Genomic DNA, 27003 nt, shown 5'->3' with positions numbered 1-27003 from the left:
AAACTCTGAATTCCACTTTGCCATCTCTTAGCTATTTAATTTTGGCCATTTTTCTAGCTTCCCTCAGCATCTGTTTCCTTATCCCTAAAATAACAAAATCTAGTTAGTGATTGTGATTGTAAATAAGACATGCACTACAGTACATTGCATAGTTTATGTTCATTAAATGTCAGTATCTTTCTTGCCTTAGCTCCACCACCAATTGCATATGATGTTGGACAAGTCGAATTACTTCTCTGAGCCACAATATCCTCACCTGCAATCTGTGAAATGAAATGGTAGGACAAAATGATCTCTACTCTGTCTGCAATCCTCCCCAATCTTGCATCTAGGCCCATTTTTTTCTTCAAGCCCAGCCCCAAGATTCTGTCCTGCTTTCTAGTGCTTGCCACAGGACTCCCAAAGACGCGCCGAAGCTCTGCGTCTGCCTTTCAGAGGATACGCTTTTTCTCTTTGCAATTGGTTCTGAGAATCCCCACCCTCCTCAATAATTTGCCTATGGCGGAGCAGGAGCCCTCCAGCTCCCGCCCCATCACTGGTGATTGGCATGGGACCTAGCTCGTCCCCGCCCCCACTTGACTGAAGGTTCGGCCCTGGCACCGCCCTGAGTCCCCAGGCGCTAGCTGACTGGGGTGGTTGGGACCGTTAGCTCGGCAGGCTGGCAGGCTCCGGGGCGCTACTCCATTGGCGGCCGGGATGGAGACTATGCGAGCGCAGCGGCTGCAGCCTGGTGTGGGCACCAGCGGGAGGGGCACTCTCCGAGCGCTGCGGCCCGGAGTGACTGGGGCCGCGGCCGCCACCGCCACACCCCCTGCGGGCCCCCCGCCTGCCCCGCCGCCTCCCGCACCGCCCCCGCCGCCGCTGCTCCTGTCTGGGGCCCCAGGACTACCCCTGCCCCCCGGCGCCGCCGGCAGCCCGGCAGTGCTGCGAGAGGCCGTGGAGGCCGTGGTGAGGAGCTTCGCCAAGCACACGCAGGGCTATGGCCGAGGTGAGTCTGCGGGTCTGGCCTCCTGCGCGACACCCTCTGTAAGGGAGCCTTGCTCCCACAGTCCTCCGGATCGCTTTTCCTGGCGTGGAGCCCTCACATGCATTTCCTTTTGGGGAGTTTCCTTCTGGGCTACGCACACGCACAGACGCACACACTCATACACACGTTTAAGCCTCCTACCTCCTCCCCTTTACTGAGTTATTAATATATTCTCCAGGGACTCTTTTTCAGATACAATCCTCTTTTCTTCCTAAGCTTTTCTCCTTTAGAAATGGAATTCCTCCTCCAGCTTAATACCTTAACATCTCTCTGCCTTTGAGAACCAGTCCTCATTGTGTGGGATCCTGTCTTTTATTTCAGATCCAATTTCTCATCCATACCCTCTCAGTCTTTCCTCTGTGATCTCTGCAATTCCTGGACTCACCTGTTAATTTGCTCCAGCCCCTTAACCTTGACTGTTAAATTCTTTACTTACTTACCTTCACTCTGAAATTTCAGTGCAACTTCAGATTTACTGGGGAACTAGGTAGTGCCTTCACAAGTCACTCATAGTAATTGTGTATTTAAATCCGGACCTGTACCACTGAACTCACAGCAGCTTCCTGTGGCTCAGTACCTTACTTTGGTATCTTTTTTAGTATGGAGACTCACAACTCCAGCCTTTCTGTCTGGCTGTGTTTTCCTGGCCCTTGCCCAGGAACTGAGGATAAATCCCAGGCCTTGGCTCTTTCAATGTTAAATTCTGTGGAAATGTGCCAGGTTAGAAACTCTATTTCAGTTAGAAAACTTCGTTAATTTCTGGAAAGAGGGATGTGAGGGTTTTCTTTGTTGTTTTCGTTTAACTAGGGTAGTTTCCTGTCTGAGTTTGAGTTCCAGATTTATAGTGTAAGTAATAAGGAATATATAGTGAAGGGTGTGGAATACAGAATTTAAGCCTGGAATTTACAAGACATCCCTTCTGTCTGCTTGGCCAGGTCCTGCCTGACCTGGAAGTGACTATATCTTTAACTTTCTGTTTAACAATAATACAGAGAAAAGTTACAGGGCTTTTCTGTAGATTTTCTTTTTTTAAGAAAGTTTAGTGAAAAGAGCACACACAGGCTTTGGAGATCTTTGTCACTTACCAGCCAAATCTTTGGGGAAGGGACTTAATTTCACTGAGCTTCAGTTTCTTCAAGGGTTACAATATGGATTGACTGAGACATTGCAAATGACATATAACCTAAAAATGATTATTATCTCAAATTTGTTGGTTCATAGTTCCTTAAGTAGAACATGCTTCACTTTTTCCCACTCTTAAATCCTAATAATGTAAACCCAAAAATTCCTATGAAAACAGATTTTTAGAGCCATTTTGCTATATGTGCCTAATGATTCATTCATCATCAATTTCCCTTTGTTCTTCATACAATTTGAACTCCTATTATAAGACAGGAACTCTGCTAGGTGCTGGGGATACAAATGGATGAATCTGAAACTCATGAGGAAATACTATTTTTCCAATGTAATCCCAAGATTTAACAAGGCTATGTGATGGAACTGCTATTAGCTACTATCCTGCTGCTTCAAGTCTCTAAGTCAAGATCAAGGGAAGGTCTTTGCCTCTGGGCACAGGAGTAGCCTAGAGTGGTCACACTAAATCTGAAGCCTTCCTCTTGGCAACTTACAGGCATTTATTAAAATTATAGAAGAGTACACCCTTTTTCTTGTCTGTGTTACCTGGAGAGCCTCTGCTTTGGCTCCCAAACTGGACATCCTGTAAAAACTTTCATTTCCTTAGCAAGGATGAGGGAACAAGGGGATTGTACTGACAAAGGGCAATTAATCAGGCTTCACACTTCGTGGTGATTTTCTTTCCTATCTCCCCACCTCCCATCGCAGTCTTTCTCATTATTCTTGAGTTTCTCATTTCCAGTCTGAGTGTCCAGCCAGTACTTTAGGAAAGTCTGGCAGATAGTTCAGCTTCAGGCAAGCAGAATCTCTGCCCATTTGGCTCAGAAGTCCTTTACCACATGGAATCACTTATTCTGCTTCAATTCTTAGGCAAAGCTGCCACTGGCATATATTCACATACCCTTGTGACTGATGGCATGTTATTTGGGGGAATGGCTGTATTCCCCTGAATACAATTTACTTTAGCCTCTGCCTAGACAATTCATTCCCTCATCCAGCAATGCTTTACCACATCATCTTCAATTAACATCCTTCATCTTCTTCCTGAATGCTCCAAATCCACCTTTTCCAATCAGTCTTTAGATCTACCTTCACTCATGTGGGCTATCAGTATGTATGTATATATGTATGTATGTATGTATTTACTTATTTATTTTAAAAAGCTTTCCTGTCCTTTATCTGCCTCCCTCACCCACTTACCCAAGATACACACACAGCTCAGTATTCTGTAGGATCTTGATAAGTTTGTAGTGCATGGGATTTGTAATCAGAGGACCTAGCCCTGTCAAATAGTTGGCTGTGTGATCTTGGAGAAGTTGCTTAATCTCTCTATGCTTCATCTGTTCTCTTCATTCATTTACCAAATATTTATTGATCACCAGATGCAGTGGTGGACAAGGCAGATATTTAGTCCCTATCTTGATGGAGCTCACAGTTTACATTACAGAGCATGTATAAAGATTAATGGTGTAGTAAAGCAGGCCAGCCCAATACAAAGAGGGTTGACTTTGGAGCCAAACAAACATTGTTTCTAAATCCTGGTTCTGCCACTTCTGGCCTGTTCCTTAACTTGCTTACTTTTTGTAAAATGGGTATTATAATACTTATCCTGATAGTTTTGTGTGGATTAAATAAGACAACGAATATAAAGCATGCAGCACCTGGTACTCAGTATGGTTGCTACTATTGTGCATTTGGAAATGCTTTGGAAACTGCAAATGATAGGTACTGTTCTGCATTGCCATTTCCTTTGCACCCTTTTTTTCTATGGCATATAGTCTCTTTCTCATGTTTGACATCTGGCAATCTCTAAACTGGCAGGATCGAGTAACTCACTTTCCTTGCTCTGTAATTGCTACATTTCCCTCTTCAAACCTGTTGTTTTGGAAGTATTGCTATCCTTTTATGTTACAATATGGCTGCATGATTGGAGATTTTGCCCTGTTATTTCACTAAGTTGAACAAATGAATCTTGTGTAGTATTTTCTATTTAGTTGTTCCTTTTCCTCAGAATCACAGATAGCTTCTTTTCTGTAAGACTGGAGTTAAATGGGTTGGGCTGAATATTTCCAATTTTTGGAAATGCTGGATTAGTTCCTATATTAGTTTCCTGTGGCTGCTGTAACAAATTATCACAACTTTAGTGGCTTAAACCAACAGAAATTTGTTCTCTCATAGTTCTGGAGGCCAGAAGTCCAAAATCAGTATTACTGGGCCAAAATCAAGGTGTTGGCAGGGCCGTGCTCCCTCCAGAAGCTCTAGGGGAGAATTCATTCCTTGCCTCTTCCAGCTTCTGGTGGCTGCTGACATTGGTTTATTACGTGGTTTATTGCTGTATCACTATAATCTCTGCCTCCGTGACTCCTCCTCTTCATCAAATATGCCTCCTTTTTTTTTTTTTAAGAAATGGAATCTCGCTGTGTTGCCTAGGCTGGACTGCAGTGGTGCAATCATAGCTCACCGCAGCCTGGAACTGCTGGGCTCCAGTGATCCTCCCACCCGCCTCAGCCTCCCAAGTAGCTAGACTACAGGTGCATGTCACCACACCTGGCTGATTTTAAAAAATTTTTTTGTAGAGATGAGATCCCACAGTGTTGCCCAGGCTGATCTTGAACTCCTGGCCTCAAGTGATCATCCTGCTTTGGCCTCCCAAAGTGCTGGAATTATAGGCATGAGTCAGTGTGCCCATCCTGCCTCCCTCTTATAAGGACACTTGTGAATGCACTTAGGGCCCACCTATATAATCTAGGTCATCTCCCCATCTCAGATCATTTAAACTCATCTGCAAAGTCTTTGCCAGATAATGTCACATTCACAGGTTCCAAGGATTAAGACATGGACATTTTGGCAGGTGGCATTATTCAGTCTACCAGAGTCCCCTCCCAAAGTCACTGTTACTTTGCAGTCTCTCCTTCCAAAGAGACTGTGGATCGTGGGCTATTTAGGGGCAGATGTACCTTCTAAACATTGAAATAGGAAATAGATGAACTATTGTTAACTAGCTTCCCTATCTTCCATAATAATGTGAATAGAGTCAGTCTATTCTCGCCATCCTCTATGATCAAGGAGAATCTTTTTACTCACCTCTTAACTTCATTATCTCTTTATTCCTGCTTCCCCACCACAAAGTTGTATTTATTACTTTTTTCTTTTATTTTTGTTAATTACCTTCCTGGCAAGGTTGTATTTATCCTTATGATATAAAATTTTTACTGTAGTTTCATATATTGTTTTAATATTTTTATCCTGGCCAGGCACAATGGCTCATGCCTGTAATCCCAGCATTTTGGAGGCCAGCGCAGGAGGATTGCTTGAACCTTAGGGTTTGAGACCAGCCTGGGCAACATAGTGAGACCCCATCTCTACAAAAAAATTTTTTTGAATTATCCAGGCATGGTGGCATGCATCTTGTAGTCCCAGCCACTCAGGGAGCTGAGGTGGGAGGATCACTTGAACCCAGGAAGTCAAGGCTGCAGTGAGGTGTGATTGTGCCACTGAATTCTAGCTTCAGCGATAGAGCGAGACCTTGCCTCAAAAAAAAAAAATGTTTTAGGTTAGGTGCGGTGACTCACACCTGTAATCCCAGCACTTTGGGAGGCTGAGGTGGGAGGATCATCTGAAGTCAGGAGTTCAAGACCAGCCTGGCCAACATGGCGAAACCCCGTCTCTACTAAAAATACAAAAATTAGCTGGGTGTGGTGGCGTGCGCCTGTAATCCCAGCTACTCGGGAGGCTGAGCAGGAGAATTGCTTGAACCTTGGAGGTGGAGGTTGCCGTGAGCCAAGATCATGCTACTGCACTCCAGCCTGGGCGACAGAGCAAGACTTTGTCTCAAAAAAAAAAAAAAGTTTTTATTTTGGCTGAAAATGATCACTACCTCTCATTCCCATCCTGTCCACTTAGACATTCGTATATTTTATCTCCTAAAGGCAAAAACTAAATTATTCTCTTTTTTGTTATTCAACAGCAGGGTATAAGCACTGAAATATTCCTATCTTGGTCTTTCTTGTGAGAGACTTTGAGAAAACAATTATCAGATGTGTATATCTCAGTTCTTCCTACCCTCCCACCTCACTGTTCTTTAGCCATCCTTATGTAAACCATTATATCCATGGTTCCTCATTGAAAATATGATACAAAATTTGGGTGCTCCACATATACCCATGCACAAATACTCATATGCATACAGACACACACATAATTTTACTTAACAGTTTTAGGAAGCTTGTGAACCTCCATGAAGCTCAGCTGTGGACTGGACCTTGGAGCCTGTGTTAAGATTCCCAAATTGGAAAGAATATTGGCCCCCGGAAATCTAGATTCATGCCCCAACTCTGCCATAGCTATGTGACCTCAAACAAGTCTTCTGTTCTTTCTTAGCCAGCATTGGACTAGATGATCTCTAAAGTTCCTTCCAGCCCTAAAAATGAATAAGTCTAGAAGCATTTTCAAATGCGGATCACAATTAGTTGCTTTTTTCTTGACCACTTTGCCCAATTATCATTTCATACTCACATTTCTAAAATCAAGACTCCCCATGTCCCTTGGCCTTGAGTAATCATTAAAAAATGATTCTCTAGTCTGTGCAAAGGAATGTTTAACTGGATAGAGACTGAACATATGCTTTTTAATAGGACCTTCCCAATTATGGTGGTCTCCTCCTCTTCCTCTTTATTCCAGTATTCTCCCTGTTGTGTGCATGTCAAGAGAGCTGTCACCCAGTGCATTGTGCTAAACTGTCTCAAAGAGGGAACTGGAGCTGAAAAGATCTCACGGAAAGAACAAAGATGGCTGAGCTTTCTGGTCAGTATTGACCTTTGAAGAGCCCTGCCAAAACCAATAGAAGGAAAGAGAGTTTTCTTTTCATGCTGGATCTTTTTTTAAATTTTAATTTTAATTTTTTTTGCCCATGACAGAGCCTCAGGAGGTCCTAATGACATGTGCCCTCATGCTGTCTTTTAATAGAAGAATGAGCATTCTTAAAAGTCAGTTAAATGTAGGTTATTAAAAAGAGTTTATGCTGCTTCTCCAACTCAGGCTAGTACATGGGTGTTTGTTTCAGTCACAGAGCAGGCGAGATAATTTATTATTGGCCACTGATTTCAAATTCCTTGCTTGCTGGGCGCGGTGGCTCACGCCTGTAATCCCGGCAGTTTGGGAGGCCGAGGCAGGTGGATCACCTAAGGTCAGGAGTTTGAGACCAGCCTGACCAATATGGTGAAACCGTGTCTCTACTAAAAATACAAAAATTAGCCAGGCGTGGCGGCATGTGCCTATAATCCCAGCTACTCAAGAGGCTGAGACAGAAGAATTGCTTGAACCTGGGAGGTAGAGGTTGCAGTGAGCCAAGATTGCGCCACTGCACTCCAGCCTGGGAAACAGAGGGAGACTCCAACTCAAAAATAAAATAAATTCCTTGCTTGCAGGAACTGTGAGTTATTCTTTTCATGCTCAATGCTTAGAATGATGCCATGTACCTATTAAGTGCTCAAAGTTTTGCTAACGTGTATATGACAGCCATGAAAATGTGCAGTTCTCATTGCCTGCTGCAGGGAGCATAACTAACAGCCTCAGCCACTGCCCACTCTGGGTCATCCATAACCACATTTGCACCACAAAGTCGCACATTCGCATCCATAACCACATTTGAAGGAACCACGCTTCCTGTAGGCTGCTCCCAGCCAATGACCTAGCACATCAGGGGTATTAACACAGGCAGATCCTGGTGAGATATGGGATTCCTTTGGCATGAGGACTTCTCACTGACTTAGCCAAATCTTTCTTAAAACTGTACTACAGCCGGGCGTGGTGGCTTGCGCCTGTAATCCCAGCACTTTGGGAGGCCGAGGCGGGCGGATCATGAGGTCAGGAGATCAAGATCATCCTGGCTAACACGGTGAAACCCTGTCTCTACTAAAAATACAAAAAATTAGCCGGGCGTGGTGGTAGTCCCAGCTACTCAGGAGGCTGAGGCAGGAGAATGACATGAACCCGGGAGGTGGAGCTTGCAGTGAGCTGAGATCACGCCACTGCACTCCGGTCTGGGCGACAGAGTGAGAATCTGTTTAGAAAAAAAACAACAACAACAACAACAACAACAAAAACTGTACTACAGTCTGAGATTGTCATATCTAGACCTCCTTCTTTCCCTCTCTTCCACAGGCATGAGATCTTTGCTGTGCTCAGAAGGCTCTCCCTGTTGTCTCCTACTTCCTCCCTGATAAATCTCTTGCAATTGTCTATCCCATCTTGGTGTCTTCTTGGCAGATCTGAACTAAGGAAATATGAAAGAACGAATGAGACTTTGTTGCGATTAAGAGTAGAAGAGGAGAGGCCAGACGTGGTGGCTCACGCCTGTAATCCCAGCACTTTGGGGGGCCAAGGTGGAGGAGGAGCACTTTGGGAGGCCGCTTGAGCTCAGGAGTTTGAGACCAGCCTGGGCAATGTAGTGAAACTCTGTCTCTACAAAAATTACAAAAATTAGACGGGCGTGGTGGCATGCACCTGTGGTCCCAGCTACTCAGAGGCTAAGGTTGGAGGATCGCCTGGGCCTGGGAGGTGGAGGTTGCAGTGAGCTGAGATCGCTCCACTGCACTCCAGCCTGGGCAACAGAGTGAGATTCTGTCTCAAAAAAAAAAAAAAAAGGAGAGTGGTCAGTATGTTGCAAGATATTTCAGAGCACCTGGGATAATTTATTATTATGAGGCTTTAGCTAAAACTATTTGAAATGTTTGGAACCCTAGAGCCAATGTGATCCTTTCTAAAAGCAAACTGATCTCATCCCTCCTTTTTTTTTTAATTAGTTATTTTTCCTTGGAGCTGAGTTAGAAAGACTCCCTTCTTTTTAAAGTCCTCCAATTGCTTCCTATTGCTCTAGGATAAAGCCAATACTCTAACATGGCCTAAAAGGCCCTACTTGGTCTGGTCCCTGCCTCCTCTTGCAACCTCATCTTGCATTACACTTCCCCTCCCTCACTCTTTCATAGCCATATGGTCTTAATTCCCTTTATTCATCATGTTCCCTGCCGTCATGAGCCTTTGAACATGCTGTTCCTTACGCACAGAACACTGTCCTCTCACCTCTTGCCTAGTGAATTCCTAGTCATACCTAAACTTAGATATTGCCTCCTCAGGGTAGCTTTCTTTGACCTTCTTAACTAGGTCAGATACGCCGACATCTATCACTCCTTTATAGAACTTGATCACAGCTGCAATTTTACATTTGTTTGAGATTTGGTTAATATCTCTTTCCCTCTTTACACTGTAGGCTACATAAGGAAAACGTAGGGATGAGAGGAAGTTTTCTAGAATACAATGTCAGGTCTGGAGTTTGATTTTAGCCTACCTACAACTAATAAATTAGCCATTTACTGTTTCATGGGTGCTGGCAGAAGTCAAGAGACTTTGAGATTTAGAGACAAAGGAATTTATTATTCATAGCACAGCAAGTAGCATGAGCATCATGTTTATATTAGTTCTCCTTGCCTCCTCCCAAGTCCAATGCAGAGGACTCAGGTGGATACTTGCATAGGCCATGGGTTGCTTCACAACAGAGGAACACTTATAGAACCCACAGCTTGGGGAACTTGCCATTTTACAACAAGCTGAAGCAAGCAAGTTCTTTATCTGAGTGAAGGTAGTACCTCATCCCTCAATATTTCTTGCTGCAAGCACAGTCCTGAAAAATAGCCCAAGTAAAGAGCAGTCAGGGATTTGCAATCTTGGTGTACCTAGCAAGATGTGAAGGAGCATGAGAGACCGACCCATGGAGGAGTGCTTCTTTTTAAAGTCCTCCAATTGCTTCCCATTGCATTGCTTCGCATCTCACCATATGGCTCCTCCAAAAACATTTATACCCAGGTAAAGCCTCAAAAGAGTTTTCTCTCCCACCCCCATGCCCTGGCTTCTCTCACTCGTAGTATGTACATAGTATTCTGGGTTGGAAAAGGAATCTGGCAATGGATGTGCTCACTAGAAGCACAGGCTCGAGAATGGTTATTAGGGCTATATTTCCTTGAGCCAGCAGTATTGCATAAAAGAATATTCATTGGAACCAAGACTACTTGAGTTTGAATACTCAAACTGCTACTTTCTCCTGGCATAACCTTGGGCAAGTTATTTAACTTCTCTGTACCTCATTTCCCTCATCTGTAAAATATGGATAGTAAAAATATCTGCTTCATAAAGTTGCTGTGATTAAACACGTAAAGCAGTTACAGAAATGGGTGACATACAGTTCAATACATGTTAGCACTTATTGTGGTGGTTATTATCATCCTGGGCCAGCTAACCAACTGTGGAATAATCTGCTTGTATTTCATCAGGCAGTGATAATGGTCTGCTGACATTGGGAACTCTGCCTTCAATATTTAAGTTATTCTAGGACTAAGTTAAAATGTGAACTATTCAGATTGGAGGTGGGAGTGAAAAAAAAATTTAAATAAAATAAAATGTGAACCAGAAAAGTGGTGGAGGAGGGCAGGCCTACTCTGGTCTTTCTAGGCAAATTAACTTAATCACAGTCTAGGTTTATTAACTTAAATGCTTTTCAATGGCGATAGGTAGGGAGCTAAGGGGCAGACTCTTAATGTAGGTACAGGTTACAGGTACTGTATTGAAGTATAGCACCACGTGGAGGTGTTCTCATTCATTGCTGAACTTAAGTACTTCTCTTTTGTAGTGAATGTGGTGGAGGCACTTCAGGAATTCTGGCAGATGAAGCAGTCCCGTGGTGCTGACTTAAAGAATGGGGCTCTAGTGGTTTATGAGATGGTTCCCTCCAACAGCCCTCCTTATGTCTGCTATGTCACCCTGCCTGGGGGAAGCTGCTTTGGGAGTTTCCAGGTAAGAGTTGTGAGGTGGCAGTAGCAAAGGTAAATGCTTAGATGTTAGTAACGGCTTTCTCCACCACTTTGGCCATTAAACTGCCTGAAATCATATATTTGAGGACCTAAAGCAATTCTGGGGAAATTATTCTGGCAAGCATCTGAGGCCAATTTGACCATAGTAGAACCTCAGTAGCATGCTTTCCTTTCAAAAACTCAAACCCATTTTGAATTTGAGCAGTTATGAATATCCCCTTGCTCAGTATATCCGACTACCAGCATCCAACCCATGTTCCAATCTGGCTTCAGTTATTGCATTCCAACTTTCTTCCATCTCTTATTGAGGATATAGAACAATATTCCTTGCCTCCAGTACTTTTTCGTAGGCAATTACTAAAGAAAGCAATGTTGGAGTTCTCTAAGAGGTCAAATCGGAGGGACTATGTATGCTGGAAACAGTACTCATCTAAGAGTTAGGAGATCCAAATTTACATTCTTCTGAATATCAATGGGGCAAATCTCTGGGCCTCACTTTTCCCATCTATAACATGAAGGAGATAGGTTAGATTATTTCTAAAGTCTTTTCTACTACTAACATTCTACAATTATGTGAAATACCTATGATGATGAAAAGAATGGTTGCCATTATGAGGTAGTAGTGAAAAATTATGGACTAGTACGAATATTCTCATCAAAGATGGATTTTTTACATTGCAGACAGGGAGGCAGCCTTCTGAAATGTCAACTTAAAAGTCTCAAATGGAATTTAGAGAAAATAATAAACACCTTTGTTCTGTTTTCCATATGGTTTGTGAAACCCTTAGACAAGGTTAAAGGCCCTACTGTGTGTCTGCATAGCACCTTGAACTTCCCCTATCATATCACTTATTACAACATATCATAATTGTTTGTCTCTCCTAGTGGACTATGTTCCATAGAGGCAAAGATTGTGTTTGTCTTCTTTCTCGTTAAATCCCTACCACCCATCTTAGTGCCTAGCAGATAGTAGGCAAATAATACGTCTGTTGCATGAATGAGTGCCATTGCAGCTTAGTTTCTGCCTCAAACAGAAGCAGTCCTAAGGAAGCTTCATTTCAAATCAGGTGATGAAATTTTTTCCCTTAGAACTTCAGTCATTTCAGGCCGGGCACAGTGACTCACACCTGTAATCCCAGCACTCTGGGAGGCCGAGGCGGGTGGATCACAAGGTCAGGAGTTTGAGACCAGCCTGACCAACATGGTGAAACCCCGTCTCTACTAAAAATACAAAAATTAGCTGGGCATGGTGGTGCACGCCTGTAATCCCAGCTACTTAGGAGGCTGAGGCAGGAGAATTGCTTGAACTCTGGAGGCGGAGATTGCAGTGATCTGAGATTGCACCACGGCACTCTAGCCTGGGCAACAGAGTGAGACTCTGGCTCAAAAAAAAAAAAAAAAGAACTTCAGTCATTTCAGAGAAATAACTATATACCCAAGATGACAAATGTTTATGCTTTCACTTGTTTTTTTTTGTTTTTTTGTTTTTTTGTTTTTTGAGATGGAGTCTTGCTCTGTCACCCAGGCTGGAGTGCAGTGGTATGATCTTGGCTCACTGCAACCTCCGCCTCCTGGGCTCAAGTGATTCTCCTGCCTCACCTTCCCCAGTAGCTAGGACTAGAGGCGCATGCCACCACGCCTAGCTAATTTTTTTTTTTTTTTTTTTTTTGGTATTTTTAGTAGAGACAGGGTTTCACCATGTTAGCCAGGATGGTCTCAATCTCCTGACCTTGTAATCCACCCGCCTTGGCCTCCCAAAGTGCTGGGATTACAGGTGTGAGCCACTGCGCCCAGCCTGTGCTTTCACTTCTAAGAGAATAAGATCTTTCCTTCTTCTTTTTTTTTTTTTTTTTGAGATAGAGTCTCGCTCTGTTGCCCAGGCTGGAGTGCAACAGCCCGATCTCAGCTCACTGCAACCTCTGCCTCCCGGGTTGAAGCGATTCTCCCTGCCTCAGCCTCCCAAGTAGCTGGGAGTACAGGCACCTGCCACCACGCTCAGCTAATTTTTTGTATTTTTAGTAGAGATGGGGTTTCGCCATGTTGGCCAGGCTGGTCTCGAACTCCTGACCTCAAGCAATCCGCCCACCTCGGCCTCCCAAGGTGCTGGAATTACAGGCGTGAGCCACCGTGCCTGGCTGATCTTTCCTTCTTCTTCCCACCTCATTACATTGTTGAATGACTTGAAAATTTTATGACAATGCCCATAACTGAAACATTATAGTAATTTGATTTCTGTTATTTTTGGAAAGAGGAGAATTGTCTTTCTTGGCCTTTTAGCCTAAACTTTTTTTTTTTTTTTTTGAGACAGAGTCTTGCTCTGTCGCCCAGGCTGGAGTGCAGTGGTGTGATCTTGACTCACTGTAACCTCCACCTCCCAGGTTCAAGCAGTTCTCCCTGCCTCTGCCTCCGGCCACCACACCCAGCTAATTTTTGTATTTTTGTATTATTTCACCATGTTGGCCAGGCTGGTCTTGAACTCCTGACCTCAGGTGATCTGCCTGCCTCAGCTTCCCAAAGTGCTGGGATTACAGGTATGAGCCACTTCACCCAGCTTTTTTTTTTTTTTCTTTCTTGAGACAGGGCCTCACTCTTGTCACCCAGACTGAAGTACAGTGGCACAATAATGGCTCACTGCAGCCTTAACTTCATGGGCTCAAGTGATCCTCCCACCTCAGCCTCCTGAATAGCTGGGGCCGCAGGCATATGCCACCATGCCTGGCTAATTTTTGTATTTTTGGTAGATATGGAGTTTTGCCATGTTTCCTAGGCTGGTCACAAACTCCTGAGCTCAAGCAATCCTTTCACCTCAGCCTTCCAAAGTGCTGGGATTACAGGTGTGAGCCACCTCGCCCAGCCAGGGGCAGGGTGCAATAACTGAAGCTAGATTAGAACATGGGCTGGGTGTTGATAGTCCGATATACTGAGCAAGGGCATATCCATAACTGCTCAAATTCAAGATGGGTTTGAGTTTATACCTCTTTATCCACTTTGGCAGGTGAAATTTCTCCCTCTGGTTTTCTTCACAGATGACTTTTTAAGCAACAGCACTATAGAGCAGGCCAGCAAGCTAGTAACAGACAAATAGAAACAGACAAATTGAAGCACTGGGAAGACTTAGGACTTACTTACCAAGCCTCATATGCTGTCTCAGAGAGCCTGTCAGTTAATAGAAATTAGGAATTATTGATATTAGGGATGCTTAAGTACTAAACACATCCTGGTCTACTTATTTATTGTTTTTTTAAGACAGAGTTGTGCTCTGTTGCCCAGGCTGGAGTGCAGTGGCACAATCATAGCTCACTGCACCCTTGACTCCTAGGCTCAAGTGATCCTTCCACCTCAACCTCCTGACTAGCTGGGACCACAGGTGTGCACCACAACCATGCCCAGCTAATTTTTAAATTTTTTGTAGAGTTGGCATCTCACTATGTTGCCCAGGCTGGTCTCAAACTCCTGGCCTCAAGTGATCCTCCTGCCTTAGCCTCCCAAAGTGCTGGGATTACAGGCATGAGCCACCATGCCCAACCCCTGGTCTACTTTTTATTTTAAGTTTTCTTTTAGAGACAGAGTCTCACTCTGTCACCCAGGCTGCAGTGTAGTGGTGTGATCATAACTCACTGCAGCCTGGAACTCCTGGCTCAAGTGATCCTTCTGCCTCAGCCTCCTGAGTAGCTGGGACTACAGGCACGTGTCACCATGCCTGGCTAATTTTTTCTTTTTTTTTTTTGGTAGAGACAGGGGTCTTGCTATGTTGCCCAGGTTATTCTTGAATTCCTGGGCTCAAATGATCCTCCTGCCTTGGCCTCCCAAAGTGCTGGGATTACAGGTGTGAGCCACCAAGCCCGGCCTTGGTCTACTTTTAAAAACTGCAACATCACTTTCTTCCTTTCCTCTAATTACTCATAAATGACATAGGGCAAAGAGGCCTTTGAGACAGCCAATAAAGATGAATTATAAAGGAATACTATGGTGGCTAGAGATCTGAAGTTGAATAATTTTGAGACTTCTGCAGATCAGACTTGTTCTATGATACCTATGTTGGATACAATATAAAAACATGAATTAATTTTTATTTTTTTCCTTCTTAAGTCAGCTTTCCTTCCCTTAGTTACTCCTCTCCTCTTTGTTTCCACTGTGGGGAAAAAAGAAGTCTATAAATTCCTTCTTCAGACTTAAACCCTTCTCAGGGATAGCTCCTTTGGCTCACTACGTTATTTGAGAAAATGCCTGCTCACAGCTAAAAATGAAGTCCGAGATTCCAAGATGGGTGCTTCTGATAGAGACCAGTGGCCTCTGTAGAAGCAGCCTAGACACAGCTTTGGTTCTAATCTTGGGTTATCTAGAGGAATCCAAAAAACCTTACCTGTCCGCAGAACAAGATACAGATTTCTATTAAGCCGGCCAGAATCTGACTTTTGAGTAACTAATTCTGTCGACAGTTTAAACGGGTATTTTTCATGACCAGTGATTATATGCTGACTTAAGCAGCCTTCCTCGTTCTGCATTCAGTTTGGTATGAGCTACAGCCCTCTCCCAGTTCCTTAATGACTTCAGGATGTTGAATCAAAATTATGTTTCCAAACATCCCAACCACTTTACCATAAAAACCTTGGAAAGTGTGTTGAACACAACTGATTTATCCAAAGAGCGTCCAAGTGTTTTCTATCTGAAGTGTTTCCCTCCCACTGTTCCTTCCTCTCTCTCATATGCACAAATACACATATTCTCACTCTTTCTCCCCTGCCTAGTTTTGCCCCACAAAAGCTGAGGCCCGGAGGAGTGCTGCAAAGATTGCGCTAATGAATTCTGTGTTTAATGAACATCCTTCCCGAAGAATCACTGATGAGTTCATCGAGAAGAGTGTCTCTGAGGCCCTGGCATCTTTTAATGTAAGTTGTATGGAGCTGGAAGGAAGGAGAGTGGGAGATGGGAGAACTGGCTGCTTGGGAAGTCGTAAATTACTGTGAAACAGAGCATGAATTCTTGTTTTCTTTCTGGTCCACCTCTCTGTTCTTTTGATTTATTCTCTGTCAGTCTATTGTGTCATGTGCTCCACCTGTCGCAGTCTCTAGTTCTGTATCTGTGTTTATGTGTTTTTTGTTGTTTTGTCTCTTTCATTGTGTCTCTTTGGTATCTAGAAACCTTTAATTGCAGATTTATGGAATTGTAGAGCTATTCCAAAATGAAAATTGAGCTTCAATTTTGCTTTTGCTAATTTGGGTTAAGACCTTAGTTTCTGCAGTTCTTTTTTTATGACTGTTTTTTATTGTCACTTGTCTCCTGCCTCCATTACTTCATCTTATTGATAAAGAAGACTTTTATAACAAAACGTCTTTTTAGGAACAAGGAGGATAATTTATTTACTCTCTTTATTTACAACTGTTCTTTCAAATGATGATGATAAGAATAACCATAATTAGCCAGACGCGGTGTCTCACGCCTGTAATCCCAGCACTTTGGGAGGCCGAGGCGGGCAGATCACGAGGTTAGGAGATCGAGACCATCCTGGCTAACACGGTGAAACCCCGTCTCTACAAAAAATAAAAAAAAAATAGCCGGGCATGGTGGGGGGCGTCTGTAGTCCCAGCTGCTTGGGAGGCTGAGGCAGGAGAATGGCTTGAACCCGGGAGACGGAGTTTGTAGTGAGCCGAGATTGCGCCACTGTACTCCAGCCTGGGCGACAGAGTGAGACTCCATCTCAAAAAAGAAGAATAACCATAATTAATCCTAATTGAGTATTTACCTTGTGGCAGGGACTGTTCTAGGGGATTTATATGCATTTTACCTCATTTGATCATCACAACAATCTTATGAGGTGTAAGTACTATTATTACCCCTATTTTACAGATGAGGAGACTAAAAACACAGAAGTGGAATGTTGCTTAACATGATATAGCTAGTAATTGGTCACGCCAAGATTAGAACCCAAGTTGACTTAATTTAATTACATCTTAGAAATTAACACCGCCATCTTCCTTCCTCTCCACAAATTCATTAATAGTCAGACCAAGTATCTGTTCTATTTGCATTTAATTAAGATGTAATTACAGGCCAGGTGCAGTGGCTCATGCCTGTAATCCCAGCACTTTGGGAGGCTGAGGCAGGCGGATCATCTGAGGCCAGGAGTTTGAAACCAGCCTGGCTAACATGGCAAAACCCCATCTCTACTAAAAATACAAAAGTTAGCTGGGCGCAGTGGTGGGCGCCTGTAATCCCAGCTACTCGGGAGGCCGAGGCAGGAGAATTGCTTGAACCTGGGAGGCAGAGGTTGCAATGAGCTGAGATTGTGCCATTGTACTCCAGCCTGGGTAACAGAGCAAGAATCCGCCTCAAAAAAAAAAAAAAAAAAGATGTAATTACATATACTAAATTACTTCAGTTATCTGCTTTGTGGATTAGTTGTTGAATACTTTATTGAAAGTTGGTTTCCCTCTGTTATTTAGGACCCAGCTGTTTTTCTCCCATTATTCTTTGCCCCAGTCAACAGCATCTGCAGGGAATGAAAACATTTTTATATTAATCCAAACCAAATAAAAAAAGAAAAAGCCAGCTAAAATTTTTTGGAAAGTACATTTGCTACTTTTAGGTCACCTAATGGTATTATAAAATGAAACAGGGCGAGGCGCGATGGCTCACGCTTGTAATCTCAGCACATTGTGGGGTGGATGCCAGCAGATCACTTGAGGTCAGGAGTTCGAGACCAGCCTGGCCAACATGGCAAAACCCCATTTCTACTAAAAATAGAAAAATTGGCCAGGCACGGTGGCTCATGCCTGTAATCCCAGCACTTTCGGAGGCCGAGGTGGGCAGATCACGAGGTCAAGAGATCAAGACCATCTGGCTGACATGGTGAAACTCCGTCTCTACTAAAAAAAAAAAAAAAATTAGCCAGGTGTGGTGGTGCGCGCCTGTAGTCCCAGCTACTTGGGAGGCTGAGGCAGGAGAATCACTTGAACCTGGAAGGCAGAGGTTGCAGTGAGCCGAGATCACGCCATTGCACTCCAGCCTGGTGACAGAGCGAGACTGTGTCTCACAAAAAAAAAAAAAAAAAGAAAGAAAAGGAAAAAAAAAAAGAAAAAATACAAAAATTAGCTGGGCATTGTGGCACATGCCTGTAATGCCAGCTACTCAGGAGGCTGAAGAATGAGACTCGCTTGAACCTGGGAGATGGAGGTGCAGTGAGCTGAGATCATTCCATTGCACGCCATCCTGGGCAACAAAGTGACACCCTGTCTCAAAAAAAAAAAAAAATAGAAAAGGAAAGGAAAAAAAAAGAAACTGTGGATTATGGAAAGTAGGATGTGCAGTATTTATCTGATCATGGGCTCTAAATTCATTGTTGGCGCGGTGGCTCACGCCTGTAATCCCAGCACTTTAGGAGGCGGAGTTGGGCGGATTGCCTAAGGTCAGGAGTTCAAGACCAGCCTGGCCAACATGGTGAAACCCTGCCTCTACTAAAAATATAAAAATTAGCTGGGTGTGGTGGCGGGCGCCTGTAATTCCAGCTATTTGGGAGGCTGAGGCAGGAGACTCACTTGAACCAGGAGGCGGAGGTTGCAGTGAGCCGAGATTGTGCTATTGCATTCCAGCTTGGGTGACAAGAGCAAAATTCTGTCTCAAAAAATAAATAACTAAATTCATTGTTATTGAAATTATGGTTCTAGGCCAGGTGTGGTGGCTCACGCCTGTAATCCTAGCACTTTGCGGGGCTGAGGCGGGCAGATCACTTGAGCTCAGGAGTTGGAGACCAGCCTGGGCAGCATGGCGAAACTCCATCTCTACAAAAAACACAAACAGTTATCTGGGTATGGGGGCATGCATCTGTAGTCCCAGCTACTTGGGGGTCTGAGACAGGAGTATCACTTGAGTGAGGAGGTCAAGGCTGCAGTGAGCCAAGATTGCACTACTGCACTCCAGACTCAGTGACAAAGTGAGACCCTGTCTCAAAAAAAAAAAAAAAAAAGAAAAAGAAAAAAGAAAGCAATTATGGTTCCTGGCTGGGCGCTGAGGTTCATGCCTGTAATCCCAGCACTTTGGAAGGCTGAGGTGAGCAGATCACCTGAGGTCAGGAGTTCGAGACCAGACTGGCCAATGTGTTAAAACCCCATCTCTACTAAAAAATACAAAAATTAGCCAGGCATGGTAGTGCACACCTGTAGTCCCAGCTACGTGGGAGGCTGAGGTAGGAAAATCGCTTGAACCCAGGAGGTGGAGGTTGCGGTGAACTGAGATCGCACCACTGCACTCCAGCCTGGGCGACAGAGTAAGACTTCATCTCAAAAAAAAAAAAAAAAAATTATGGTTCCATAGTCTTCCTTTGGGATCTGTGTGGGATTGGTTCTAGGATCTCTCGAGGACACCTAAACCCAAGGATGCTCAAGTCCTTCATATAAAATAGCACAGTACAGCCTGGGCAACATAAAGAGACTTCATCTCTACAAAAAAATAATAAAATAATTAGCCGGGTATGGAGGCACTTGACTGTGATCCCAGCTACTTGGGAGGCTGAGGCAAGAGGATCACTTGATCCTGGGGAGATTGAGGCTGCAGTGACCATCCACTGTACTCTAGCCAGGGTGACAGACAGAATGAGACACAGTCTCAAAAAAAAAAAAAAAAGTACAGTATTTGCATATAACCTATGCACATCCTCCTGAATAAATGCTTTAAATCATCTCTAGAGTACTTATAATACCTAATACATGTAAATGCTGGGCCAGGCACAGTGGCTTACGCCTGTAATCCCAGCACTTTGGGAGGCCAAGACAGGCAGATCACCTGAGGTCAGGGGTTCAGGACCAGCCTGGCCAACATGGTGAAACCCCGTCTCCACTAAAAATAAAAAAATTAGCCGGGCGTGATGGCGCATGCCTATAGTCCTAGCTACTCTGCAGGCTGAGGCAGGAGAATCACTTGAACCCAGGAGGCGGAGGTTGCAGTGAGCCGAGATCGCACCACTGCACTCCATCCTGGGCGACAGAGCAACAGAATGAGACTCCGTCTCAAAAAAAAAAAAAGGAAATTTTTATTTTTAATTTAAAATTTTATTTAATTCTCAAAACAATCATTTAAGGTAGCTCTATGATTATTCCCATCTTACAGAAGAGGAAACTGAAGAACAGAGAGGTTAAGTGACTTTACCAAGGCCACGCTATTTGTAGGAGCTCCAGTCCATGCTCTTAACTTCTATGCTGTATTGGTTTTTTTACATGCTAGGCTTGAATGCAGGACAGTGTGTCTTAATTCTAACCCTGCAGGGTTACATAACCAATAGAAGACACAATAGGCCAATGTCCAGGAGACCACACTGCTACCCAGAATTTCCACACTTATACCACATTTCAGAAAGTCAGTACAAAAATGTAAAATATTTCATTAATAATGTTTATACTGACTACAGTTGAAAAATAATATTTTGAACATATTGGGTTAAATAAGATATATTATTAAAATTAATTTTACTTGTTTTTTTTTTTTTCTGAGACAGAGTCTCACTCTGTTGTCCAGGCTGGAGTGCAGTAGCCCGATCTCTGCAATCTCCGCCTCCCAGGTTGAAGTGATTCTCCTGCCTCAGCCTCCTGAGTAGCTGGGATTTACAGGCACCCACTACCATGCCCGGCTAATTTTTGTATTTTTAGTAGAGACACGGTTTCACCATGTTGGCCAGGCTGGTCTCAAACTCCTGACCTCAAGTGATCTGCCCACCTTGGCCTCCCACAGTGCTGGGATTACAGGCATGAGCCACTGCACCTGGACTTACCTCTTTATTTTTACTTTAATGTGGCAGAGAGGAAATTTTGAATTAAATATGTGGCTTGCATTATATTTCTACTGGACAGTGCTGCTTGAGATGATAATCCTGGTTGAAAATCTATTTGTCTTTTCTGTTCCTCTACTACCAGGGCAACAGGGAGGAAGCTGACAACCCAAATACAGGGATTGGTGCCTTCCGATTCATGCTGGAATCCAACAAGGGCAAATCAATGTTGGAGTTCCAGGTACTTTCCCATGTACTTCCCTGGTTCTAATAACATGGGTCAGCCTGCTACTGTAATATATAATGGCTCCTACTAATTCCTAACTCATTGATACTGGAAAAGAAAGAAGGTTGTTACACTATTTTTCAAAAATAAATACCTTCCTGGCTGGGCATGGTGGCTCAGGCCTGTAATCCCAGCACTTTGGGAGGCTGAGGCGGGTGGATCACTTGAGGCCAGGAGTTTGAGACATGGCAAAGCCCCGTTTCTACTAAAAATACAAAAATTAGCTATGATGGCACATGCCTGTAATCCCAGCTACTTGGGAGGCTGAAGCACGAGAATTGCTTGAACCCAGGAAGCAGAGGTTGCAGTGAGCTGAGATTGCGCCACTACACTCCAGCCTGGGTGACAGAGCAAGACTCTGTCTCAAATAAGTAAGTAAGTAAGTAAATAAATAAATAAATAAATAAATAAATAAATAAATAAATAAATATTTTTCTTCCCCAAAGGCCTATCAGAGTTAGTGATGAGAGATGCTTCTACAAATCCATTTTGTAAAAGGTTTCCCATGTAATTCTGATGCAACCTCCCAATATAAAAATCACTGTCCTGGTACTTCCTATCCTCTTCCCCCAGGAGCTAATGACAGTTTTTCAACTGCTACACTGGAATGGCAGCCTTAAGGCCATGAGGGAACGACAATGCTCTCGGCAGGTAAGAGATTTTATGAGTGGGGGCGAATGAGGGGAGCACAATCTGTCAGTGGACTCTTTTGAGGTGGTTACTATGTTAGAAATAAGGTCTATTGTGACCTATGGTTGTGAATATTGAAAGCCTTACCTAAGTACCCTCTTCATTCCTATAATCTTTCCTGTGTAAATATTAGCTGTGATTCTTTTGTCTATCTTGCTTCCCGTAGCAGGAAGTGCCTTTAAGAATCTCCTTGAAGAACTTAGGTGCTGACCTCAGTTAGGTCTCTAAAGCTGAGTTCTTAGTCCCAGTTGGGTCAGTGTGGTATGATATGAACCTTTACCTTCTCAATGATGTTCACATTCCCCTCCCCTACTAGGAGGTGTTGGCTCATTATTCGCACCGGGCCCTGGATGATGATATTCGCCACCAAATGGCCTTGGACTGGGTGAGCCGGGAGCAGAGTGTGCCGGGGGCACTGTCTAGAGAGCTGGCCTCTACTGAGCGGGAGCTGGATGAAGCCCGACTGGCAGGCAAGGAGCTGCGCTTCCACAAGGAGAAGAAAGATATTCTTGTGCTGGCTGCTGGGCAGTTGGGCAATATGCATTCTTCCAACTGCTAGGCATCCACCCACATAACTCCCCAGGCTTTCCACAGCCTTTTTTTATGTCTCCTTTCTAAGATTTAGGATGATTTTTTGTACATACTTTCTCATTTTTATACTTTAAAAAATATATATGTGTATAAATTCTACACCTAGATTCCTATTTGCTAAGAGATCCCTTTTCTTACTACCAGTTTTTGGATGTAGTTTTATTTGAAACATCTTCAGTCCACTTTACAACAAAGAGCAGCTTGTCTTTGCAGCTTTGTTAGCTCTTAAACTTCCAGATTAACTGTGTAGCCATTTCAGTAGCACTAAAAGATTAACTCTAGTGTTCATGTGTCCTTCTTTTCAAATATCAGGTAACTTGAATAAGGATTATGTGCCCCACCCTTACTCTCATTCCTGCTTCCTCTTGGACTCAAACAGGGTATGAGTATGAAGATTTTGCCTTTAGTTCCTGAACTGAACCTGCTTGCTATCCCTTTCCTCCCCACCACTACCTTATTCCTTCTCTGCCTCCAAATTGCCACTTTGTTTTGAGGCTTCCTTCCCTACCTTATTATTCTGAAGGAAGTAGAGATCTTGCTTCTGAAACCCCTCCTAAGAAACTGCCCAGGGACAAGATAAATTACAAACAATTCATGGGAGTTTACTACCTAAGTTGCTTCTAGGGCATATGTATACCATACTAGTAGTCTAGATTTCTGGATATACTCTACAGTAGATGGGGGTTATGGTTGAAACTGATTCTCTTTCAGTATTCCCTCTAAACATCTCCCCTACTCCCCCAGCTTAGTTAAACCCTGCGTTTGGACCTTCCTGCCTGCAGCTATTAGTAGAAAGTAAAACATATTTCCATATTTCCCTTCACCTAACATTTTATTTTTTGGAAGCGTTATCAGTCCTATTTGGTTAGTGAGAACCATGTTCCCCTTATTCCCGCTAAGTTGCTGCTGTTTACTACCTTAGATTCTCATTTGTTTTCTCTTTCTTTCCTCTCCTTCCACATTAATTATTAGAACATAAGTTGATCAGGAAAATTAAATGAGACTTTAGTATTTTGGCACTTCCTAATTGACACCTTGGGAGACTGCAGGAAGGGAAAGAGAATCAATGATCAGTTATTTGTGTGTGTGTGTGGTTTTTTTTTTTTTTTGGAAGACAGAGTCTCACACTTTTGCCCAGGCTGGAGTGCAGTGGCGTGATCTCGGCTCACTGCAACCTCTGCCTCCAGGGTTCAAGCGATTCTCTTGCCTCAGCTTCCCGAGTAGCTGGGATTACAGGCACACGCCACAACGCCTGGCTAATTTTTATATTTTTAGTAGAGACAGGGTTTCACCATGTTGGCCAGGCTGTTCTTGAACTCCTGACATAAGGTAATCCACCCGCCTCAGCCTCCCAAAGTGCTGGGATTACAGGCGTGAGGCACTGAGCCTGGCCTATTTGTGGTTTTTTTTTGGTTTTGTTTTTGTTTTTGTTTTTGAGACGGAGTCTTGCTCTGTCGCCCAGGCTAGAGTGCAGTGGCGCGATCTCGGCTCACTGCAACCTCCGCCTCCCAGATTCACACCATTCTCCTGCCTCAGCCTCCCGAGTAGCTGGGATTACAGGTGCCCACCACCACGCCCAGCTAATTTTTTGTATTTTTAGTAGAGACGGGGTTTCACCATGTTAGCCAGGACGGTCTCCATCTCCTGACCTCGTGATCCACCTGCCTCGGCCTCCCAAACTATTTGTGTGTTTTTTTTTTTTTTGAGACGGAGTCTCGCTCTGTCGCCCAGGCTGGAGTGCAGTGGCGCTATCTCGGCTCACTGCAAGCTCCGCCTCCCGGGTTCACGCCACTCTCCTGCCTCAGCCTCCTTAGTAGCTGGGACTACAGGCGCCCGCCACCATGCCTGGCTAATTTTTTTGTATTTTTAGTAGAGACGGGGTTTCACCGTGTTTGACAGGATGGTCTCGATTTCCTGACTTCGTGATCCGCCCGCCTCGGCCTCCCAAAGTGCTGGGATTACAGGCGTGAGCCACCGCGCCCGGCACTATTTGTGTTTTTAACACCATTCTCCCCCACTTCTCTCCTGGGTGACATAAGAGAGAAATAACCTGTAGTACAGCAGCTAAAGTATTCTCCTTTCAGAGAATTTTTTTGGAGGTCTCTAATATATATTTCCCCCTTGTCTCTGTGATCTCTTATTTATACTATATTATTGTCCCATGTACTTTCTAAACTGAGCTTGGAACATTTAGTATTCCTGCAATTGGACTTCCCACTTAACAATTATACAGACTTTGCTTTTAGAAATAGATTAGGTTCCAAACAGAAAGTTCAAGTGTAACAACAACAATAAAAATAGATTATGAAACAGGCTATAATTGGCTCTTTTGGATTTGATAGGGGCAAGATGAAAGGCAACTTTCTTGCTTTTGAAATCATGTTGGGTAAGAGGTAAGGAATCCAGCTACAATTTTATTAGTGCTTGAAACGGGCTTCCTTGAATTCTCCAGGCCCTATCATTTTTTTTTTCTTACTAATCAGAAGAGAGCTGGGGTAGAAGCCCCATGTTTGTATTCCATGAAACACGTCGGGTTGGAGTAAAGGCAAAAACAGCTAGACACACCAGGTGTGTCTGTTTGACATTTATAAGCTGGCACTCATCAACACTCCTGTTTCTCCTTTCTCTGGGACGTGTGGATTAAGGGGTGTGAGTTGTGGGAAGAATTGCCCTCGTACCTCCTGGATTTATTATTTTTCTCAAATACCAACCAGTAAGATCCCAAATAACTTGAGAAAAATTGTTTCCTGATCTGTCCACTTCTGGTGTCAAAGATTTTACTCATCTTCTTAGTACATTCTATGTATTTTATATGTATAATTTTATACAATTAAAAATAGATTTTTGTCTAGTGAGCCAGACTGACTCTTTCTTGAGACCTATATATTACAAAAGTGAAGGGGTGGGTTGCCCCTCCACACCTGTGGGCGTTTCTCGTTAGGTGGAACAAGAGACACAGAGACAAAGTATAGAGAAAGAAAACTGGGCCCAGCTGACCAGCGTTCAGTATACGGAGGATCCACGCCAGCCTCTGAGTTCCCTTAGTATTTATTGATCATTATTGGGCGTTTCCCGGAGAGGGGGATGTGGCAGGATCATAGGATAATAGTGGAGAGAAGGTCAGCAGGTAAACACGTGAACAAAGGTCTCTGCATCATAAACAAGGTAAAGAATTAAGTGCTGTGCTTTGGATATGTATACACATAAACATCTCAATGCCTTAAAGAGCAGTATTGCTGCCCGCATGTCCCACCTCCAGCCCTAAGGTGGCTTTCCCCTATCTCAGTAGATGGAATATACAATCAGGTTTTACACCGAGACATTCCATTGCCCAGGGACGAGCAGGAGACAGATGCCTTCCTCTTGTCTCAACCGCAAGGAGGTGTTACTTCCTCTTTTACTAATCCTCCTCAGCACAGACCCTTTACGGGTGTCGGGCTGGGGGACGGTCAGGTCTTTCCCTTCCCACGAGGCCATATCTCAGGCTATCACATGGGGAGAAACCTTGGACAATACCTGGCTTTCCTAGGCAGAGATCCCTGCGGCCTTCCTCAGTGGTTTGTGTCTCTGGGTACTTGAGATTAGGAAGTGGTTTGAGATTAGGGAGTGGTGATGACTCTTAACAAGCATGCTACCTTCAAGCATTTGTTTAACAAAGCACACCCTGCACAGCCCTTAATCCATTTAACCCTGAGTTGACACAGCACGTGTTTCAGGGAGCACAGGGTTGGGGGTAGTGTTACAGATTAACAGCATCTCAATGCAGAAGAATTTTTCTTAGTACAGAACAAAATGGAGCCTCCTATGTCTACTTCTTTCTACACAGACACAGTAACAATCTGGTCTCCCTTTCTTTTCCCCACAAGAAGCTCTAAAACATCCCTGTTCTTTTACATATATACTAAAGAAGAATTTTTAGGCCAGGTGCGGTGGCTCATGCCTGTAATCCCAGCACTTTGGGAGGCCGAGGCGGGTGGATCACGAGGTCAGGAGTTCGAGACCAGCCTGGCCACCATGGTGAAACCCCCATCTCTACTAAAAAAAATTAAAAATTAGCTGGGCATGGTGGTGGGCGCCTGTAATCCCAGCTACTTGGGAGGCTGAGGCAGGAGAATTACCTGAACCCAGGAGGTGGAGGTTGCAGTGAGCCGAGACTGAGTGATTGCACTCCAGCCTGGACATCAGGGTGAGACTCTATCTCAAAAAAAAAAAAAATTTTATTAGCATTTTTGGGGTGGTAGAAATGATTGCATAAGGCAGCCTGCCTCCCTTTCTGCAGATATTTAACCTGGAGTTTGTCCTTGGTCTTTTCTCCTCAAGCTCTACCTACTCCCACTGGCAATCTCACCCATTATGGTGACTTGAACTCCACTATACACATGACTCTCAAATCTATTTCTTCCTCCCCAACCTGTTTTAAGCTTTTACATTTACTTTCCACATACTTGACACGGCCATCTGAATATGACAAAAGCACTTTGAAACATATCGAAAATAAAAAACATTTCTCCATACTCATTCCTCTTTGACTCTCTAGATTATTCGAATTATTATTATTCTTATTATTATTATTTTTGAGACGAAGTCTTGCTCTTGTCCCCCAGGCTGGAGTGAAATGGCGCGATCTCGGCTCACTGCAACCTCTGCCTCCTGGGTT

The 27003-nt window shown here is 43.8% G+C and overlaps 1 protein-coding gene and 1 long non-coding RNA gene across 2 annotated transcripts in view, besides 2 other annotated features; one reads left to right on the top strand and one right to left on the bottom strand.

Annotated features, from left to right (window-relative positions):
* Window positions 553-642: a silencer, noted in NCBI's record as "silent region_1270". NCBI's record gives its function as "represses an Ori minimal core promoter by ATAC-STARR-seq in GM12878 lymphoblastoid cells {active_cell/tissue: GM12878}" and the evidence as "EXISTENCE:reporter gene assay evidence [ECO:0000049][PMID:35858748]".
* On the top strand, window positions 607-25201 carry LIX1L (limb and CNS expressed 1 like). The gene is made up of 6 exons (NM_153713.3): window positions 607-988; window positions 10842-11005; window positions 15771-15911; window positions 20925-21020; window positions 21639-21716; window positions 22072-25201. The coding sequence occupies exons 1-6, from the start codon at window positions 697-699 to the stop codon at window positions 22312-22314; spliced, it is 1014 nt and encodes a 337-aa protein (NP_714924.1). The 5' UTR covers window positions 607-696; the 3' UTR covers window positions 22315-25201.
* Window positions 673-952: a silencer, noted in NCBI's record as "silent region_1269". NCBI's record gives its function as "represses an Ori minimal core promoter by ATAC-STARR-seq in GM12878 lymphoblastoid cells {active_cell/tissue: GM12878}" and the evidence as "EXISTENCE:reporter gene assay evidence [ECO:0000049][PMID:35858748]".
* LIX1L-AS1 (LIX1L antisense RNA 1) overlaps window positions 17421-27003 on the bottom strand; it is a 14373-nt gene continuing 4790 nt past the window's right edge. The window contains exon 3 of the long non-coding RNA NR_147182.1: window positions 17421-17512. This is a non-coding gene — a long non-coding RNA (LIX1L antisense RNA 1). The remainder of the gene's footprint in view (window positions 17513-27003) is intronic.

The sequence above is a fragment of the Homo sapiens genome, chromosome 1, assembly GCF_000001405.40.
Source record: "Homo sapiens chromosome 1, GRCh38.p14 Primary Assembly".
Taxonomy (NCBI): Eukaryota; Metazoa; Chordata; class Mammalia; order Primates; family Hominidae; genus Homo; species Homo sapiens.
The sequence above is the reverse complement of the archived record's forward strand: the minus strand, read 5'-3'. Positions and strand labels throughout refer to the sequence as shown.

Coding starts and splice junctions, on each gene's coding strand:
- LIX1L (NM_153713.3), top strand. CDS start 697: ATGGAGACTATGCGAGCGCAGCGGCTGCAGCCTGGTGTGGGCACCAGC. Junction 11,006..15,770: donor GCTGCTTTGGGAGTTTCCAG/GTAAGAGTTGTG, acceptor TCCCCTGCCTAG/TTTTGCCCCACAAAAGCTGA. Junction 21,717..22,071: donor AACGACAATGCTCTCGGCAG/GTAAGAGATTTT, acceptor CTCCCCTACTAG/GAGGTGTTGGCTCATTATTC.